The following is a 22,253-nucleotide window of genomic DNA, read 5'->3' as shown; positions in this document are numbered from 1 at the left end:
TGCTGGCATTACAGGCGTGAGCCACTGTGTCCGGCTCACAGATAGCTTTTTAATCAGTGATGTACACTTGGTCAATGTTAGCCTCCTGGACCATGTATCAAAATTTTTTTTCTTTTTTGAGTCAAGAGTTTCACTCTCTAGCCAGGCTGGAGTGCAGTGGCCTGATCTCGGCTCACTGCAACTCTGCCTCCCGGATTCAAGCGATTCTCCTGCCTCAGCCTCCTGAGTAGCTGGGACCACAGGCATGTGCCACCATGCCCGGCTAATGTTTTGTATTTTAGTAGAGATGGGGTTTCACCATGTTGGCCAAGATGGTCTCGATCTCCTGACCTCGTGATCTGCCTGCCTCGGCCTCCCAAAGTGCTGGGATTACAGGTATGAGCCACCGCGCCCGGCCAATGTATCTAAATATTTAGAAGTTGCAAACTGCTTAATAATTTTTTACCCTCTACCTTGTCAAATATATTGTCATTAACAAATGTAGGCTGGGCGCAGTGGCTCACGCCTGTAATCCCAGCACTTTGGGAGGCCGAGGCGGGCGGATCACGAGGTCAGGAGGTCAAGACCATCCCAGCTAACACGGTGAAACCCCGTCTCTACTAAAAAATACAAAAAAAATTAGCCGGGTGCGGTGGTGGGCGCCTGTAGTCCCAGCTACTCGGGAGGCTGAGGCAGGAGAATGGTGGGACTTCCAGCCCACACTTCTGATATGAGTTTATGCCAATGGCAATTGCTTTTCTAATTAGCATATTTTCTCATCCTATGATTTTCTTAATAACATTTTCTTTTCTCTAGCTTACTGTATTACAAGAATATAGTATATAATGCATATATAAAATATGTGTTAATTGACTGTTTATGTTATTGTTAGGGCTTCCAGTCAACAGCAAGCTATTAGGAGTTAAATTTGTGGGGAGTCAAAAGTTTTACATGGACTTTCAACTGCATGAGCAGTTGGTGCTCCTAACTTCTGCATTGTTCAAGGGTCAGCTGTAAATGTTAAAAAGTGAAAAATCAAAATTATTTTTCACACGTTTTCCAATTTTTTTCTAAAAATACAAAATTTTCAGAAGCAAAAGGTAAAATACAAGTTATAATTAAAATGTCTAAAGATTTAAAAATAAAAATAATTTAGGCTGGGTGTGGTGGCTCACGCCTGTAATCCCAGCACTTTGGGAGGCCAAGGAGGGTGGATTACCTGAGGTCAGGAGTTCGAGACCAGCCTGGCCAACATGGTGAAACCCCCTTTCTACTAAAAATACAAAAATTAGCCAGCCATGGTGGCATGCACCTGTAGTCCCAACTACTCAGGAGGCTGAGGCATGAGAATCACTTGAACCCAGGGGGCAAGTGCAGTGAGCCAAGATCGTGCCACTGCACTCCAGCCTGGTGACAGAGAGATACTCTGTCTCAAAATAAATAAATAAAATATAAATAAAAATAATTTAAATAGAGACAATATTTTTAATTTCTTTGTTTGGAAATTTAATCGCATCTTACTCAATGTTTTTATAAAGATAAAACTATTTGCCATTCTAGCATTCTATGTTCATCCAGTTGCCAATATTAAAGAATTAGTATCACTGAATTAGTATCACGGTATTTATACTCCTACAAATACATATTTGTAAATTTAGAGTAATATGAGTTGTTTAATATTGTAGAATTTTTCTCGGCTGTCATGTGCAACATTTGGAAAACTATGCTAATTTATGAGTAGCTTTGGAATCACTAATTGGAACACAGAGAGAAGCAAGAAATGATGCTTTGTTATGCAAGAAGCTATGGCATTTATGCAGCCTGAGAGGGAGTTTTTGACAAATAATTTGGAATTTTACCTTAACTTAAAGCTTCTGCTTTTCAAGTCTTCTCAGCACTTTGAAGGAGGGTCTGTTGCAGATGTTGGCAGTGGTAAAATTCGCAGATGTTGATGGTGCTGAGATGCAGTTGTCCTATGAGGGAATAAGGCAGGATAATGGGGAAACACATCCCTGGGGCCTGAGTGAGGTCAGTCTGAATGCTGTGTGAGGCTGTCTAATATGTGGGCTAGGCAGAACCCTCTAGCTAGGACTTCCAGCTCACACTTCTGAGTCTGGTTCTCCAAGGCTGTGATATGAGTTTATGCCAATGGCAATTGCTTTTCTAATTAGCATAGTGAATGTTGGAGATGGTGTTCTATTGCTGAAATCAGTGGCTTGTTGTTGGTTGATGGATTCTAGAAATGGGCTCCTGGTGAAATTGTAGGTACTCAGCATTTCTGTGTTGGTTGGAATATTTTAAAGACTTCCTAACTTACATGAACAGAGAGTAAGAATGTAGTGAGTTTATAGCCTATACACGTGGGAGGGGTTCCTGAGGCTTGATTCTGAAGGGGCCCAAAATATGCTACACCAACATATGCTACTTTGGTATATTGATGATCTTGAGCTGAAGACAAGTGAGAAACAGCAGACACAGGAAGAGCTCTCTGCCCTCCCCATATCTGCCTAAAAGCATGGCATAACTTTCTCAAGAGAAAGTGCTTTCCTTGTACCAGAAAAAGGAGCACAACTCTTATCATCAGCAATGGAGAATTGACAACAAGACAAAGCTACATAAACATGCCTTACTAAAATAATCTTTTTCTTCCATTAGCTTCCTCTATATATTTCCTAGTCACTTTCCCACAACTTATCATCCCCAGTAGCCCAAACCCCTTTTCCTTTGTCTAGTCACTTCTCCACAATTTATCACCCTTTGCTAGAATGGTATATATGACCCTGTGTGTAAATGCTTCTTTGGATTTCTACTTTTCTGTGAAACCCCTGTGCATGTAACCATAACATCAGTAAAAATTGTGTCTTTTCTTCTGTTAACCTGTCTTTTGTCAATTTAACTCATAGGCCCCAGTCACTGAACCAAAGATGATAGAGGGAAAAATTTTTTCTCCTACATGACTTTTTCTTAATTAAAAATTTTAATTTTAATGGCCCAAATAAATTGTTTTAAACTTATAGTCATCATTCTTTTTTTTTCTTTTTTTTTTTTTTTGAGACGGAGTTTCACTTTTGTTGTCCAGGCTGGAGTGCAATGGCGCGATCTTGGCTCACCGCAACCTCTGCCTCCCAGGTTCAAGCGATTCTCCTGCCTCAGCCTCCTGAGTAGCTGGGATTGCAGGCATGCGCCACCACGCCCGGCTAATTTTTGTATTATTAGTAGAGATGGGGTTTCACTGTGTTGGCCAGGCTGGTCTCAATCTCCTGACCTCGTGATCCACCCACCTCAGCCTCCCAAAGTGCTGGGATTACAGGCATGAGCCACCACGCCCTGCCACTTATAGTCATTATTCTATGGAGAATTCCATGTGTAAAATTTTATAAAGATGGATTAGACATGTGATGACCTCCAGTGACTAACAGGGAGTCTGCGGAACCCACAGCATTAGCTAGCAGGCAGTGATTGAAATTTTCAAAGGCTTTGGCAATGAGAGTCAAGTGGACAGTAATCCATGGCTGTTGTGCATTTTAGTGTATCTGGAGCTTGATATCCTGCACTGTTTTTAAGCATTCCAGTATTGACGAAGATTCTACTTTACCATGGCCTAGGCAACCAATGGCACTGACAATTGATGGCACTGTGCCAAAAGCTTGCAATGCTGCCTGGGGGTAATTTTCACTCCCAGTGCTGTAGGCTCACTTGCTGGGCCTCCAGCTCCTGCAGCAATGGGACTGTTCATAAGTCTTGTTCATGTGAGCATCCCTAAGCCCTAGCCCAGTGCTTGGCACACAACAGGCACCCAGTTAGGATTTTTAATGTTGCAATTCAGCAAATTGGACTTTTACTCCCTTCCACCAAGCAGCTCTCTCACACCTGCCTGCTTTTCTCTTAAGGGAGCAAACTCCACCCTGCCTCCCTCACTCCCACTCCCACTGCCGCCCCATTGCCCTAGTTCTCTCCAAGACCCTTGGGACAGATCCCATTCAAACTACTTACTTTTATCTACTCCCCAATAGTTAAAACTTCCACCTTCTGGGTGGAGCTGAATTTAGCTAGGAAGATAGCAACCTGATAAAAAATAAGTCACTCTAAAGCTTTACCCTTCTGTGGAAGTCTTTGCATTTTAAAAGGTAAGAGGGATTTTGAGCCTGAGGGACTTCCTCCTGCACTCTGTTTACCCCAGGCTGTTGGGATTGTAAATGAATCCACCCAAATCTCCAGCTATACTCAAGGCATGGTACAGCATGGACAGCACCTGGGAGCTTGTTAGAAGTGCAGGGTCCACCTCAGGCTACTGGAGCCCACATTACTGGTTGAGAACCTCTATTTACCTTCAAGTTTGAGACCACTGAGTCTCCATCCTGTCTTCCCAGGGACGTATAAGGATGCACTCCTACAGATGAAAACAGTGGGTGTCTTGGTTCCTCATTTGGGAGAACTTTAGGATCCTTGCTTGCCCTAGGGTTATATACTTTATCAGTAGTTTTCAATTTTTTTTTTTTCTTTAGACAGTGTCTTGCTCTGTCATTCAGGCTGGAGTGCACTTGTGTGCATATAGCTTGCTGTAACCTGGAACTCCTAGGCTCAAGCCATCCTCCCACGTGAGCCTCTGGGGTAGCTGGGACTACATGTGTGCCACCACCTTGCTAGTTTTAATTTTTTTTTGTAGAGGTGGAGCCTTGCTATTGTTACCAGAAAGGCGTCCAGATCCAGACTGCAACAGAGGGTTTATGGATCTTGTGCAAGAAAGAATTTGGGGCGAGCCCATGCAGTAAAGTGAAAGCAAGTTTATTAGAGAAGTAGAGAAACAAAAGAATGGCTACTCCACAGACAGAGCAGTGGTATGGGTTGCTCAACTGAGTATAGTTATGGTTATTTCTTGATTATATGCTAAACAATAGGTGGATTAATAATGAGATTTCTGGGAAAGGGGTGGGCAAGTCCTGGAACTAAGGGTTCCTCCCTCTTTTAAACCATATAGGGTAATTTCCAGACATTGCCATGGCATTTGTAAACTGTCTTGGTGTTGGTGGGAGTGTCTTTTAGCATGCTAATGCATTATAGTTAGCACATAATGAGCAGTGAGGACAACCAGAGATCACTTTTGTTGCCATTTTTGTTTTGGTGGGGTTGGCGATTTTCTTTACTGCACCTTTTTTTTATCATCAGGATCTTAACAAAATTTAGATTTTTAAAATTAAAAAAAAAAATTTAAAACGAGCTGAGTGTTTTGAAATTTTTTTTAAATTAAAAAAAGATGTAAACTCCTGGGCTCAAGTCTGAGCAACAGAGCAAGACCCTCTAATAAACTCGGTATCCTGTGATACCAGTCCTGATGACCTCCTATCTCATCCTGTGACTAAGAATGCCTACCCTCCTGTAAATGCAGCCCACTAGGTCTCAGCCTTATTTTACGCAGTCCCATTCGACATAGGGTCACTGAATGGCTCTGACGCTATATTTCCTAGGCTGGTCTTGAACTCCTGGCCTAAAGTGAGCCTCCCACCTTGGCCTCCCAAAGTGCTGGGATTACAGGCGTGAACCACTGCACCTGGCCTCGAAATTTCAAATTTTTACTGTGCACTAGCCTCATTAGAGGGCACTAGTTAAAAATGTAGATTCCTCTGAGAGTCTGACTCACTAGGTCTGGGATAAGGCCCAGGAATTTGCATTTGTAACAGGGGACTTAGGTGACTTCCTAGGAAGGTGGTACTAGTTTCACACTCTGAGGAATCTAGTCCTTCATCTGGTCCAGCCAGGCAGAGTGATTCACGAGGACTGCAGAGTATGCCACACTGAAGCCTGCCTGAGGAAATGCTGGGACTAGCCTGGAGCTTCCCTTGAAAGCCCTAAATTTATAGTCTAAAGTCCTTGTTATTTACAGACTGGATCTTCTGCCTGTTGTCAGCTAAGGAAATATGAGAACTTCACATTTCAGGGTTGGTTTAAGGCAAGTAATTGGAAGTTATGTTTACCACCTGGGTATCTGTTTTACTCTCTGCAAAAGAAATGCGATTTTTCCCCTACCGCCTGGCCTCTGTTTCTCCGTGGCTTTCCCTCCTGCCCCTGGGACCCACCCTTGGGCTGTTCACACTTTTGGGAGCCTGGGGAATGGCTTCTGACTACAGCAGGTGAAAGCTTTGCAGGTGGTTGATAGGGAAGGAGATGGAATTGCATCACTTTCTTGGTCTCTTCTGAGTTATTACGGAAAATGAAATCGTTGGCTGTGGGGAATTAATTGAATATGATGAGCCCAGAACTGCTAAGAAAATACCTGTCCTGAGATTTTCTGGAAAGGAATGCTGTAGATTGCATTTCCAATTTGCCATTCTTTCCCTAGGGTTTTGGCCGGTAGGACTGCTGAGACAAAGGGTAAATGTGGTGACACATTAGATGACGCTAGCATACATATATTTGCAGAGAGCACAGATAGACAACACGTGCCATTTGTTGGCTGTTCCTGAGTGTGTTTAAATGAAGAATCAACGTGTCAGGATTGTTCACGCTGCAATTCTGAAGACTGTGATTGTTTCTTAGGCTTTGGGTGTCTTTCATAAAAAGACTGTTGAATATTCCAGAATGTGTGTTCTATTAGGAATGTGATAATTGCAACCATGTGTGATGTGGCAGTTCTATCACCTGATGAGAGGACCTGGGAGAACAAAGACAGCTAGGAAGTTCATGTGTATTTGTTGTACAAATTAATACAAACTAATTGTATTAATTGTTGCTTACTAATTAAGCAAATTCCTAACATTCTGTCTCACCCAACACTGGGCTGAGATGTAGTCATCTGTGCCTCTTGATGTTTGTCCTGTGTGTCTTTTTCTCAGCGAGAAAGGCAGTTAACTGTTTTATGAAAATGCCTAAAATGGTCACATTTTAGATGTCCTCATACAGCAGGGGAAATCTCATTTGTTTGAACACCTCTGGCCAGTCCTTCCTTGTAAGCCCCAAATGGTGCCTTGGCCTTCCCCTTGATGGATTCATTGTGTTGATTTAAGCCAATGTGGCAGAAAATCTGATGTCATCTGCAGCTGCTACACTGAGATTCAAAGAAGCAGCCATTAACCCTTACAAAGATCCACATGACGGCACTATGGCCTTTCCAATATTCTGTCTGTCAATAACCATCGTGTGAGTCAGATTTCTGTATTGTCTTTAAAATTTATTGGGCATTGGCAAAGGAGCTTTTAGCTCTTGCATACGTTTAATAAATACACATTTACTGAAGCCCTGCAATGTGCCAGGCAAGTATGTAAACTCAGCTATGTCTGTAGTCTCCCTCAGCTCTAGGTGCCTTAGGAATCCCCCAGGCTTTAGGAAACCTTGGTCCATGAGCGCGGGGGAAGGAATTTCACTTCTAGGAAAGGCATTGGGAACCCTTGATGTTGCCCCTGCCGCGAAGCTCTCTTTCACACTCCCGGCCGAAAGCCCTCAGAAGATGCGAGGAGGAGGATTTTGGCATGGACAGTGATGCCATAGGGCAGTTGCTGTGGTAACAGGAGTCTCTCATGCTGTTGGAGTAGTGTCTGGGAGTCCTTAGGACTATTTTTTTTTTTTTTTTGAGACGGAGTCTCCTGTAGCCTAGGCTGGAGTGTAGTGGCGCGATCTCAGTTCACTGCAAACTCTGCCTCCTGGGTTCACACCATTCTCCTGCCTCAGCCTCCCGAGTAGCTGGGACTACAGGTGCCCGCCACCATGCCCAGCTAATTTTTTGTATTTTTTAGTAGAGACGGGGTTTCACCATGTTAGCCAGGATGGTCTCGATCTCCTGACCTTGTGATCCACCTGCCTCGGCCTCCCAAATTTTTTTTTTTTTTTTTTTTTTTTGAGATGAAGTCTCGTTCTGTCGCCCAGGCTGGAGTGCAGTGGCACGATCTCGGCTCACTGCAAGCTCCACCTCCCGGGTTCACGCCATTCTCCTGCCTCAGCCTCCCGAGTAGCTGGGACTACAGGTGCCCGCCACCACGCCTGGCTAATTTTTTGTATTACTAGTAGAGACGGGGTTTCACCGTGTTAGCCAGGATGGTCTCGATCTCCTGACCTTGTGATCTGCCCGCCTTGGCCTCTCAAAGTGCTGGGATTACAGGTGTGAGCCACCACGCCCGGCCAGGACTCATTTTTAGAGGTCAGGAGGAGGCCCCCAAGCCTGATCTCTTATACTGAAGTTTTTGGATACCCTCAATGGCTACTTTTTTTTTTTTTTCATACGAAAGACAATTCTGAAATTTATTTCTATTTTAGGAATTAACATTTTATTGGATGGGTGTGGTGGCTCTTGCCTGTAATCCCAGCACTTTGGGAGGCCAAGGTGGGAAGATCACTTGAGCCCAGGAGTTTGAGACCAACCTGGGCGACACAGAAGACCTTGTCTCTAAAAAAAAAAAAATTAAATTAAAAAAAAAATTAGGTGGAGTATTTCAGTTTTTTTTTTTTTTTTTTTTTTTGAGACGGAGTCTTGCTCTGTGATATAAGTTTTAATTTTAATTTTAATTTTAATTTTCTCTGGATAATGAAATTTCAGGGAAGGGGTTGAAGGCAATTGTGTTTCTCTTTGGGGGTCTAGTTTCTAGGTAGATAAGGGAACTTCAGAGAAAAGCTTCCTTCTGTGTTTTGAGAGAGGCAGAGTATTGAGGAACAGGGCTGAGGGAGGTCAGAGAGACCTTGAGGCTGTTTGTTTAGTTCTCCAGGTCAAAGCACCCTATTTTGGGGTACTGTTTCCTGAGCCCCAACATATTTGACTGATAACTGATGATTTGGACACAACTTTTCATGTACAAATACATCTCGATTACAAATGGAATAATATCAAGCATATAAATGCACATTTTTAACCTACTGCCTGGCGCCCAGGATGTCCAGCCAATGGTGCTTATTATTATTGGAGATTTTTGAAGGGATCCTCAAACCATTAAGAAGATAGGACCCCATCCGGTGGTTGGCCAGGTGCGGTGGCTCATGCCTGTAATCCCAGCACTTTGGGAGGCCGAGGCGGGCAGATCACGAGGTCAGGAGATCGAGAGCATCCTGGCTAACACGGTGAAACCCCATCTCTACTAAAAATACAAAAAAATTAGTTGGACATGGTGGCAGGCAAATGTATTCCCAGCTACTTGGGAGGCTGAGGCAGGAGAATGGTGTGAACCTGGAGGCGGAGCTTGCAATGAGCCGAGATCGTGCCACTGCACTCCAGCCTGGGCTACAGAGTGAGACACCATCTCACATACACAAAAAAAGAAGATCCAGTGGTGGGAAGCTGAATTCGGCAGATCACTTGAGGTCAGGAGTTCAAGACCAGCCTGGCCAACATGGCAAAACCCCGTATCTACTAAAAATACAAAAAGATTAGCTGGGCGGTACCTGTAGTCCCAGCTACTCAGGAGGCTGAGGCAGGTGAACTGCTTGAACCCAGGAGGCGGAGGTTGCAGTGAGCCAAGATAGCGCTGCTGCATTCCAGCCTGGGCGACAGAGCGAGACTCTGTCTCAAAGAAAAAACAAAACAAAACAAAAACAAAAGGTCCAGCGGTTACACTAGGTCTTTGACAAATACTGAAAACTAGACAAGCTATAAAAAAAGAAAAGATATCCCCTGAATGGTAGGTGTGAGAACTCGACAAGAAAGAGGGAATGGATAAAAGGGAGAAAATAGGCAGAAAATCACCTATAACTATATAGAGATATTTATATTTAGTAAAATATTTTCAGCTTCAGCTTACACACACAAAAAACCAGTGAAGCATCCGGTTGAATACAAGAATATGTCACTGCAGGGAGACGGTGCTTCACAGAGAGATTTTCTTCATAAAGAAATAGAGCCTCACCTATTCAAAAGCCGTTCCATTTAATGCAACACTGCATTGAACAGGGTTCCTTTTCAAGGGGTTCCTATTAGAAGCAAGATTATTATCTTCAGCATTTAGATGGCGTGCTGACTGGGGCCATAACACCAGGGCACTTAGGCGCTCCCATTATCAATGGACAGTATAATCTTTGGAAGTTTAAAATAGCTTTCATGGCCGGGAGCGGTGGCTCACGCGTGTAATCCCAGCACTTTGGGAGGCCGAGGTGGGCGGATCACCTGAGGTCAGGAGTAACCTCACCTCTAGGTGCAGAGAAGGACAGAAGAATGGAACACTTTGCTTCAGTTTTTTGTTGTTGTTGTTATTAGGCATTTATCCAAGAGCTCCCTTTTCGAAAGGTTTGAGTCACTCATTAGAAAAAACTTTCTAATAGAACAGTCCAAAGACATAAACAGGCCAGGCACGGTAGCTCACACTTGTAATCCCAGCACTTTGGGAGGCCGAGGTGGGTGGATCACTTGGGGTCAGAGTTTGAGACCAGCCTGGCCAACATGGTGAAACTCTGTCTCTCCTAAAAATACAAAAATTAGCTGGGTGTGGTGTCACGCACCTGTAATCCCAGCTACTCAGGAGGCTGAGGCGGGAGAATCGCTTGAACACAGGAGGCGGAGGTTCCAGTGAGCTGAGATCGTGCCACTGCACTCCAGCCTCGGCAACAGGGTGAGACTCTTGTCTCAAAAAAAGGTAGTCTAGAGTAGTCCCAGCTACTCTAGAGATTGAGGTAGGGGGATCACTGTAGAGACTGAGGATGCTTTATGAGGTGCTGAGTTTCTAAGTGCTTCGACATATTTGAATAGATTCTGGGGGACACTGGCTGGGCCGGCTATAGATGATATTCAAACAAAAGGATCTTCCAAAGGCAACAGTGAGCAAAAGAGAGAAAAAGCCAAGAGTAAGGGAAAGCTAGGACGTGGTTTGTTCCTGGAGGCATGAGCAGAGGAGAGTGGAGTCACCCCGTGATGGTAGAGCCCTGGGGGCAGTAAGTGCCTTCTCCCAGGAGGGCAGCCACCAGTGTGGCTGCTGAGCCAACAGCACTGCTGTATGCTCCAGACAGGGCCTGCTGTCTGTGGCTGTCCAGCCCTATGCTGCCCACATGATAACACCAGGCACATGTGGCTGCTTCCATTTAAAATAATTAAAATGATGGTCGGGCAGTAGTGGCGTGAGCCTGTAATCCCAGCTACTCGGGAGGCCGGGGTAGGAGAATCACTTGAGCCTCGCAGGCGGAGGTTGCGGTGAGCCGAGATCACACCACTGCACTCCAGTCTTGGCAAGAGTGAGACTCTGTCTCAAAAAAATAAAATAAATAGAAATAAAATAAAATAATTAAAATGAAACGAAAAATGCAACACCTCCATCACATTTGCCACATTTTAAGTGCTCAGTGCCTGGTGAGTGGCCCCAGAATTGAAGATTGCCAAGAACATGTTTGTCCTCACAGAAAGTTCTGTTGGACAGCAAAGATTTATACGGTTTCTTGTGCTCATCACTTCCCCATGTATCCTTACCTGAGATAACTGGAACTCGCCCCTATTCTATACCTTCAGAGTCTCTCTAATACAGTGACTTAAGGTCTCTTTAAATCTCACCTACTATGGAGAGTGTAGATGTGTGTGCTATGAGGTGTTCTGGCTAAGACTGGGCCCCAAGGCAGTTCCCCCACTATTTGTTTATTTAAAATACACATAACATAAAATTTACTTTTTTTTTTTTTTTTTTTTTTTTTTTTTGAGATGGAGACTCGCTCTGTCACCCAGGCTGGAGTGCAGTGGCGCCATCTCGGCTCACTGCAACCTCCGCCTCCATGGTTCCAGTGATTCTCCTGCCTCAGCCTCTCGAGTAGCTGGGACAACAGGCGCCCACCAGCACACCCGGCTAATTTTTTTTATTTTTTATTTTTAGTAGAGACGCAGTTTCACCATGTTAGCCAGAATGCTAGATCTCCTGACCTCATGATCTGCCTGTCTTGGCCTCCCAATGTGCTGTGATTACAGGCGTGAGCCACCATGCCCAGCCCAGGATTTCTTTTTTTGATATTCCATTGTATGGATGTAGCTTAGTTTGCTAATCTATTCATCTGTTCATGGACACGTGGGGTGCTTCTACCTCTTGGCCAATGTGAATAATACTTTTTTTTTTTTTTTTCTGGATACAGAGTTTCGCTCTTTTTGCCCAGGCTGGAGTGCAATGGCGTGATCTCAGCTCACTACAACCTCCACCTCCTGGATTCAAGTGATTCTCCTGCCTCAGCCTCCCGAGTAGCTGGGATGACAGGTGCCTACCACCACGTCCAGTAATATAGAATTTTTAGTAAAGATGGGGTTTCACCATGTTGGCCAGGCTGGTCTCAAACTCCTGACCTCAGGTGATCTGCCCACCTCGGCCTCCCAAAGTGCTGGGATTACAGGAATGAGGCACCGCGGCTGGCCCATTGTGAATAATTCTGCTAGTTACATGAGTGTAGAAATATCTCTTTGAGTCTCTGCTTTAAATTCCTTTGGGTATACTGTATACCCAGGAGTGAAATTGCTGGATCAGATGGTAATTCTGTGTCTAATTTTTTTGAAGAACCATCATACGATTTTCCATAGCAGCTATTCCACCCTACATTCCTACCAGCAATGCATAAGGGTTCCAGTTTCTCCACATCCTTATCAACACTCATGTTTTGGTTTTTGTTGAAGGTAGATCTCCTAATGGGTATGAGGTGTTATCTCATTGTGGTTTCAATTCGCATTTCCCTAATGATTAATGATGTTGAACATCTTTTCATGTGCTTATCGGCCAAGGTTTACTTTGTGAAACATCAATGGCTAAAAGTAGGGGGGAAATGCCATTTAAAAAGTTTAACTACAGCTGGGTGCAGTGGCTCATGTCTGTAATCCCAGTGCTTTGGGAGGTGGAGGCAGGAGGATTGCTTGAGGCCAGGAGTTTGAGACCAGCCTAGGCAACAAAGTATTTTATGGCAAAGTATTTTAATGGTGAAAACCACAATTATTTTTGCACCAACCTAAATAAGACCCTGTGTCTTAAGAAATACAAAAATTAGCTGGGTGTGGTGGGGTGTGCCTGTAGTCACTGCTACTCTAGAGACTGAGGCAGGGGAATCACTTGAGCCCAGGAGTTCGAGGCTGCAGTGAGCCATGATTGTACCACTGCACTCCAGCCTGGGTAACAGAGTGATACATTGTCTCTGAATAACAACAACGACAGCAACGACAACAGCAAAAGAAGTTTAACTAGTTGTTTTGATGTCTTTGTGTTATTTTGTTTCTATTTCTCTGGTGTAGGGGCTTTGTTTCACCTTGAGGACAGACTGTTTTACAGAAAATAACTGTAAGGGCCTTTAGTTAAACAATGGTGAAGCAATGATCCTTTTCAGAAGTGGAGAAGTTTGAGACACCAAGAACTAATGACCTTAAAGTTTGTCTTATTTCAAGTTTCTGCAGATGTGTTTTTCTGGAAAAAGCTTTCCTTAATCTTCAGGAGGTTGGGCTTGGACATTCTGGTGGGGAAAGAGAACTGATCCTCGCCAGGCATGGTGGCTCATGCCTGTAGTCCCAGTTCTTTGGGAGGCCGAGAGGGGCGGATCACATGAGGTCAGGAGTTTGAGACCAGCCTGACCAACATGGAAAAACCCTGTCTCTACTAAAAATACAAAATTAGCTGGGTGTGGTGGTGCATGCCTGTAATCCCTGCTACTCAGGAGGCTGAGGCAGGAGAATCACTTGAACCCGGGAGGCAGAGGTTGTGGTGAGCCGAGATTGCGCCATTTCACTCCAGCCTGGGCAACAAGAGTGAAACTCTGTCTCAAAAAAAAAAAAAAAAAAAAAAATTAGTTGGGTTGTGGTGGCACGTGCCTATAATCCCAGCCACTTGAGAGGCTGAGGTGGGAGGACCGCTGAGGCAGAGGTTGTAGTGAGCTGAGATTGTGCCACTGCACTCCAGCCTATGCAACAGAGGGAGACCCTGTCACAAAAAAAAAAAAAAAAAAAAAAAAAAACGCTTAAGAACCTCTTTTAAAGAAATTAAGTCAAAACTGAATTGGTCAACTTTTCAAATTCTCAAAATCAGTTTTTAAGGTAATTTTATCTTATTCAAATTGAATAAAGATATAATTTAAAACAGATGCCATCAAAAGGAGAGAATCAAAAGCTCCAAAATAAGCAGGAATGGTTGTATTCATCAGTTAGCTTAAAGGATCAAGAGAAGATGGTTGTAAAATCAGGTTTTTGTTTTAGGCTCCTAATTTAGGAATAATTGCTTAAGCCACGTCCCTTGCTTTAGACTTTTAATGCTATTTCCCTCTCTCATTTCCCCTTTCCTCCTCCTCGGTATGCCTTTTGTGGAAAGCACCTTCTCTGAATAGCCATCAGGACAAGCGTCAGCTATCAAAAGCAGATGTTTCCAATTTTCAACCTACCTTGTTTGGGAAACCTTGTGTTGAAGAATGTTACTTTTTTTTTTTTTTTTTTAATTTTTGGGTTTTTTTTTTTAATAGAGACCAGATCTCACTATGTTGCGATGGCTGGTCTCAAACTCCTGGACTCAAGTAATCCTCCCGCCTATGGCCTAGAAAGTGCTGGGATTACAGGTGTGAGCCACCACACCTGGCCTGAATGTTATCTAACCAGTGTCTCACTGATAGGCATACACTGGGCTGTTCCAACATCATACCACCCCTCCCTGTCCCCACCAACCGGACCTAATTCAAACATCAGGATAACTAATCAATCAATTCAAATCAAAGCGCTTATCTGCTCTAAAATTTCAGCTTCTCTGCTGTACCTTGAGTTGGCTTCAGTTTGAGTGCTAAAATATATGTATATGCATATGTGTAATTTACATCAGGAAAAAATCAACTGATCAAAAAAGATCCCAAAAATGTACTAAAAATAGAATAAAAGCAATACCTTTTTACTACTGTCCCTCTATTTCAGTTTCTGGATATAAAAGTTGTATTAAGATTAAATTTTTGGCCAGGCATGGTGGCTCATGCCTGTAACCCCAGCACTTTGGGAGGCCGAGGCAGGCAGATCACTTGAGGTCGGCAGTAGTGAGACCAGCCTGACCAACATGGAGAAACTCTGTCTCTACTAAAAATACAAAATTAGCCAGGCGTGGTGGTGCATGCCTGTAATCTCAGCTACTGGGGAGGCTGAGACAGGAAAACCATTTGAATCCGGGAGGCAGAGGTTCCAGTGAGCCAATATCACGCGATTGCACTCCAGCCTGGGCAACAAGAATAAGACTCCATCGCCCCACCAAAAAAATTAAATTTTTTTCTCATAAATGAAGATAAGCTCCTCTATATTCAATAAGACACTAATTCCTAATTTCCAAATACACAGAAATTGATAGCCATGTTTACAAGTATTACATGAGTAAATTAAACCATAACAGTATAAAATAATGCAAAAGTCATCTCTATTTGACTTAAGGATCTATATGTTATTTGTATCAATGTATTATATGAGTTATTTGGGGATGGGAGAAGAACTGACCTTTTATGAACACACATCAACCCAAGGCCAGGGAAGACAGCCTAGGAGCATGCTAGATTTAAGGAAAGCCAGCCAAAATGCATCCTCCCAGACCTACCCACCCGTCTAGCTTTGGGGTGGCTCTCAGAATTGCCCCCTCTTCATGCCTTCAGTATCCTCATGGTCCATTCCCATCACCCCACACCTGAACCTCAACATCAGACTCATAACTGGTCTCACCACTACATCCCTCCCCAAAGCCATCCTTCCCAGAGGGAGTAGCACTTTATACATCCAGGATGCCAGGGCCTTGCAAAGATGGAGAGAAGTCCAGGCCACTTACATTTTTTGAGGCTTCCAATATGTTATCAAAGAAGAAGGAGGAGGAGGAAGAAGAAAAACAAAGGCCAAGGCGCCCATCCTGGCCAACATGGTGAAACCCCATGTCTACTAAAAGTACAAAAAAATTACCGGGGTGGTGGCACGTGCCTGTAATCCCAGCTACTCGAGAGGCTGAGGCAGGAGAATCGTTTGAACCTGGGAGGCAGGGATTGCAGTGAGCAGAAATCGTGCCACTGCACTCCAGCCTGGTGACAGAGCGAGACTCTGTCTCAAAAAACAAAACAAAACAACAAAAAAAACGCAAACAAAAAAAAGAAAGGCCAAGGCGGGCAGATCATCTGTGGTCAGGAGTTCGAGACCAGCCTAGCCAACATGATGAAACCCCGTCTCTGCTAAAAAAAATACAAAAATTAGCTGGGCATGGTGGTGCATGCCTGTAATCCCAGCTACCTGAGAGGTTGAGGTGAGAGAATCGTTTGAACCTAGAAGAAGGAGGTTGCAGTGAGCTGAGACCCAGCCACTGCACTCCAGCCTGGGTAACAGAGCAAGACTCCATCTCAAAACAAAACAAAACAAAAAAAAACAAAAAAAAAAAAAACAAAAAAAACCACAATGCAATCTCCTGTGAAAGTCAGGAAAGTGAAATTCCTCTGGTTAAAGGCTTGCTGAGCTTCCTCCTTTGAGGTCCTCAGGAAACACCTCAGAACGCCAGGACTGAGAGGCAGACAGATTGAAAAAGGTTGATCTGATTTAGTCCCTGTACTTACAGATGAGAGAACCCAGGCTCAGACCAAAATAAGACTTACAAATGCATTCAGTCTTTACCAAAGCACTTATAATGCCATTAATAGTAATAATAAAAAATAACAGTAATATTACAGTTATAATATTAATATAATATATAAATATAATATATAATAATATAATAAAATGTAAAAGCCCCTCTTTAGAGCCTCTTCTTTTTAACCTCTCTCTCTCACCTTACCTGTGCCTCTCTGCCCCTCCCTGCTCTCTCCACTTCTCTAATAGGATCTCAGAGAACATGCTACCACACAGAATCAAAACACAGAGTGGGTAGACTTCAAGCCAGTCAAGTGACTGCCATACCCACCATGAGGACTCCCAACCCCCTGTAACCACCCAATGGGTTCACCTTGCCTGGTGCCTAGATAGAGCCAATTTGTCAAGACAGGTGAATTGCAATAGAGAAAGAGTAATTCACACAGAGCCAGCTGCGCGGAATACCGGAGTTCTATTATTACTCGAATCAGTGTCCCCGAGCATTCCGGGATGAGAGTTTTTAAGGACAACTTGGTGGGTGGGGAGAAGCCAGTGAGCCAGGAGTGCTGATTGGTCAGGTCAGAGATGAAATCACAGGGAACTGAAGCTGTCCTCTTGCGCTGAGTCAGTTCCTGGGTGGGGGCCACAAGATCAGGTGAGCCAGTTTATCCATCTGGGTGGTGCCAGCTGTGCCAGCTGATCCATCAAGTGCAGGGTCTGCAAAATATCTCAAGCACTGATTTTAGGAGCAGTTTAGGGAGGGTCAGAATTTTGTAGCCTCCAGCTGCGTGACTCCTAAGCCATTGTTTCTAATCTTGTGGCTACTTTGTTAGTCCTACAAAGGCAATCTAGTCCCCAGGCAAGAAGGAGGCTTGTTTCGGGAAAGGGCTGTTACCATGTTTGTTTGTTTGTTTTTGATACAGGGTCTCACTGTGCTGCCCAGGCTAGAATGCAGTGGTGCAATCTTGGCTCACTGCAACCTCCACCCCACAAATTCAAGCGATTCTCCTGCCTCAGCCTCCTGAGTAGCTGAGATTACAGGCACACACCACCACGTGCGGCTAATTTTTGTATTTTTAGTAGAGGTGGGGTTTCAGCATATTGGCCAGGCTGGTCTCGAACTCCTGACCTTAAGTAATCCACCCGCCTCGGCCTCCCAAAGTGCTGGGATGCCATGCCCAGCCCATCTTTATTTTAAACTATAAACTAAGTTCCTCCCAAAGTTAGTTCAGCCTACGCCCAGGAATAAACAAGGTTCATTCCTTGTTTATTAGCTTGGAGGGTAGAAGCAAGATGGAGTTGGTTAGGTCAGATCTCTTTCACTGTCTCAGTTACAATTTTGCAATGTCAGTTTTACTGCAAAAGGTGGGCACTAGCAGAGGGGAGAGGCAAGTGACAGAATGCTACAGAGTAGCCAGCCCTGAGGGGCAACCATCTCAGACCTACGTAACAAGGTCACACTTCCTTCTTAAACCCAGATCATCCCAGCACGAGCCCCACTGTGTTGGACTGCAGGAAGTAAGACTTCTACCAGGTTCCCTTCCCCACATCGCAGTGGGGATCCCCAGGGAATGCCCACATGTTCCACAAATCTGTCCCGCTTATCACTAGCCACCTCAGCCACCATCTGTCCCGTCGCCATGGCTCTACCCTCCTTGTTGTCCTGAAACCTGACTCTGTAGGCAGCTGCCATTCCCTTGATTTCACCCCAAGCATGGGCACAAATCCTCCCCTTAACTCCCCTCAGTGGCAGTGAATCTGATTGCAATATTTGCAATGTATGAAAATCAGGGCATGACCCAAGGTAACTGCCACCTCGCCTGACCAAGCATTTTTAAAAACATATTTAAATACCGTGGACGGCCAGGCATGGTGGGTCACGCCTGTAATCCCAGCAATTTGGGAGGCCGAGGTGGGTGGATCACCTGAGGTCAAGAGTTCAAGACCAGCCTGGCCAACATGAAACCCTGTCTCCTAAAAATACAAAAATCAGCCAGGTGTGGTGGCTCACGCCTGCAATCCCAGCCACTTGGGAGGCTGAGGCAGGAGAACCACTTGAACCTGGGAGGCAGAAGTTGCAGTGAGCTGAGATTGCGCCACTGTACTTCAACCTGGGTGACAGAGTGAGACTCTGTCTGAAAAACAAACAAACAAACAAAAAATACCATGGACTCTTTAGAATAATGTCTTCAAGTGTATAAGATAAAACATTTTAAATAACAGAGGAATCTAATTAAATGAAAGTGCATTTAAAAATATTTTTAAAGACCAGATTTGCCATATAGTAGTATATGTGCTTCTCTGTTGGTGCCTGAAACAACAAGACCTCGTGGCAGATCTAATACTTACCATAATTTCAAAGTAGTAGTATGTAGAAATGATATTTTGTGATGTCTATAACAACCGTAGGTGATTTTTATTGATGACAAAAATCACAGTTACTGATCATACTACTGTAGTTTATTGCCTACATTCATAATAGAAGAAAATGCTAAATTTGAATTAGAGGCTAGTGAAAATAAAAACATATTTTCCCCTACTTTTGACTACCTTGAATTCTATCTATGGGCACCTTGACGAGTCTAAAGACCCCAGTTTAAGAACCTTTGCTTTAGAAGATTGCAGATTCTTAAATTTTTAAATGATTGTTTTGGTAAAATATCTCTTTCCTCTGTTGGTATTTCTCTAACTGAAGTTCTAAGCAGAGTGTCCTAAATATACATTGTATTCAATTAAAGATTCCTGTCTTAGTCCATTTTCTGTTGTTTATAAAAGAATATCTGAAACTGAGTAATTTATAAAGAAAAGGAATTCATTTTTATAGTTACGGATGCTGGGAAGTCCAAGGTAAAGGGGCTACATCTGGTGAGGGCCTTCTTGCTATGGGGACTCTGCAGAGTCTGGAGGAGATGCTGGGCATCAGGTGGTGAGGGGGCTGAATGCAATAGGTCTGGTATCTTTTCCTCTTCTTATAAAGCCACCAGTCCCATTCCCATGATCACCCATTAATCCATTAGTCCGTGAGTGGATTAATTTATTTCTCAAGGCAGAGCCCTCATGACCCAATCACCTCTTTTTAAGAAATTTAATTAATTTTATTTTTTATTTGGAGACAGGGTCTCACTCTGTTGCCCAGGCTGAAGGGCAGTAGTACAACCTTGGCTCACTGCAACCTCCACCTTCCGGGTTCAAGCAATCCTCCCATCCCAGCCACCCAAGTAGCTGGGGTTATAGGCGTGTGCCACCATGCCCGGCTAATTTTTGTATTTTTTGGTAGAGACAGGGTTTCACCATGTTGGCCAGACTGGTCTTGAACTCCTGACCTCAAGTGATCCACCCGCCTTGGCCTCCCAAAGTGCTGGGATTACCGGCCAAAGCCATGGCACCCAGCCCCCAATCACTTCTTAAAGGCCTCACCTCTCAATACTGCCACACTGGGGATTAAATTTCCACATGAGTTTTGGAGGGACAAACATTCAAACCATAGCAGTCCCAAACTCCAATTTTTTGTCTCCCCATCACCTTGAGACTTGAAAGCTTTACTCAGCTTTTCAGCTGCTTTTGGTAAGCCCTCTTAGCTTCTTGCTAAACTTCTAAACATAGCTTAGGAATTAACCAACGACTGGAGGGGAAACCAGTGAGGAGCTTCAGGATTCCTTCTCCACATCTCTCTCCTCTCTGGCATTTTGGCCCCACCTCTCAGTTGCCCTGACAGCCACAGCTCCATTTTTTGTTTGCCTAGACCTGAGGGATAGCCAAAAGCTCTGCACTGATTCTTATCCTCTAGCTCAAAACTGCTTGAAAACCAGCAAATGAAGTGTTGGCTCTCTCCAGGAGCTTCCATTCTTTCTGGATCCTGGTGCTTCTGGAGAATTCCATAGCTTCCCAGTGCATCTGAACAGATTATTTTTGTATTTTATCCAGATCTTCCAGTTGTTCAGAACCAAAAGCAAATAAATTCACAATTTAAAAAACCTTTTTTTTTTTTTTGAGATGAAGTCTCGTTCTGTTACCCAGGCTGGAGTGGGGTGGTGCGATATCGGCTCACTGCAACCTCTGCCTCCCGGGTTCAAGCAATTCTCCTGCCTCCGCCTCTCTAGTAGCTGAGATTACAGGTGCACACTACCACACCTGGCTAATTTTTGTATTTTTAGTAGAGATGGGGTTTTACCATGTTAGCCAGGCTGGTCTCGAACTCCTGACTTCTGGTGATCCACCTGCCTCGGCCTCCCAAAGTGCTGGGATTACGGGTGTGAGCCACCGGGCCTGGCCAAAACCACTTTCTTATAAGTTCTCATGTTTGAGCTTCACAAAAACCTCGTGTATCAGAAAGGGTTTGGGTCACTACTCCCACTTGACAGGAGAGATCCTTGACTGGAGGAGGTGGGAAGTCTGAGAAGTGGAGAGGAGAAATCTCATCTGCCTCACAGCAGGGCTGAGACTAGAACCCACGTCTCTTGGTTCCTAGCAAAATAGATACTATTTTTCTTCACACCATCTTGCTTCTCCATGTGTATTTATTTGCAAGGGCTATCAAAACAAAGAACCACAGACTGGTGATTTAAACAACAGGTTTATTTCTTCACAGTTCTTAAGACTAGAAGTCCGAGATCAAATTGTCAGCCTGGTGGGTTTCTTCTGTGGCCTCTCTCCTCAGCTCACAGGTGCCATCTTCTCCCACGTCCTCACATGGTCTTCTCTGTGTGTCAGTCTGAGTGCTAATCTCCTCTTCTCATAAGGACACCAGTCAGATAAGATTAGGGCCGTCCCTGCTGACCTCATTTTAACTTGATTATCTTCTTAAAGACCCTAGCTCCAAATATAGCCACATTGGGAGATACTGGGAGTTAGGGCTTCAACATATGAATTTTGGGAGTAGGGGAGAGACCCACAGTTCAGCCCAGAGCACCACATAAGTGGCTTATGATTGTAATGACCAGTTTTCTTGAAATATCTGTAAATTAAATGTGTAGGCCCCCTCTTTGCTTTAGCATGGAGTTCTCAAAATATGGCACTGGCTCCATGACCATCTGCAGCTTTAGCATCAACAGTAGCACCAGCACAAACTGGTTAGAAATGCAAACTCACTCCCCACCTTAGACCTACTCCATTAGGACCTCCAGGAATGGGTCCAGCAAACCTTTCAGGTGATTCTGATGCTGCCCAAGCAGTTGCGCAAAGGACAGCTCCGAGGCAGAGTTGGTTCAGCTGTAAATTCTGGTCATGCTGTTCCCCAGCCCTTTTCTAAAGGATGACTCTCCTGAGACATCAGGTTATGATTGATGGCCAGATCTGTCAGATAGCAGCATTTAAATCAATGCTAATCTGTCTTGTGGTATCATTTGGCATTCAAATATCACCTACTCATTTGAGGATTTATAAAGGAGGCAACTTTCAGTAGGAAGCTTTCTTATTTGAGAAATGAGATTCTTTGCTAATCTGGGCCTCAGTTTTATTATCTTGAAAATGAGAAATCTGCATTCCTTTTTCAGTGCAGACAGTCTGTGCATTCATAGAAATGATCAGAGCAACTAGTATCCCAGAAGAAACCGTGTTATGATGTTTTGGGGTTCCCTGAATGGTCAGACTAAGCAACCCAAACTGCACCAGGCAGAGTGCCTCAAATTGGAAATTTTTAGAGGCGAGCATGAGGTTTGCACCCAATCATTGCTCTGGTTCTGGCTGAATATATGTAATGGGTGCTTGATAAACATGGGAGGGTTTAGATCAGAATTTGTATATTGCCCCTAAGAGCTCAAACTCCCCCAAACCCAGTACCCGGCTTCACCTACTGGTGAGGGCCCTGGCG

The 22,253-nt window shown here is 44.1% G+C and overlaps 1 long non-coding RNA gene across 1 annotated transcript in view, besides 1 other annotated feature; it reads left to right on the top strand.

The window, feature by feature from the left end:
- Window positions 1-22,253, top strand: part of LOC105374945 (uncharacterized) — a 148,669-nt gene that overhangs the window by 37,031 nt on the left and 89,385 nt on the right. The window lies entirely within an intron of this gene.
- Window positions 13,685-13,874: a silencer, noted in NCBI's record as "fragment chr6:14958411-14958600 (GRCh37/hg19 assembly coordinates)". NCBI's record gives its function as "represses an EF-1alpha promoter that drives an FKBP-Casp9 reporter gene in an ReSE screen in K562 erythroleukemia cells {active_cell/tissue: K562}" and the evidence as "EXISTENCE:reporter gene assay evidence [ECO:0000049][PMID:32094911]".

The sequence above is a fragment of the Homo sapiens genome, chromosome 6 (assembly GCF_000001405.40).
Source record: "Homo sapiens chromosome 6, GRCh38.p14 Primary Assembly".
Taxonomy (NCBI): domain Eukaryota; kingdom Metazoa; phylum Chordata; class Mammalia; order Primates; family Hominidae; genus Homo; species Homo sapiens.
This window is presented reverse-complemented; position numbering and strand designations above follow the sequence as displayed.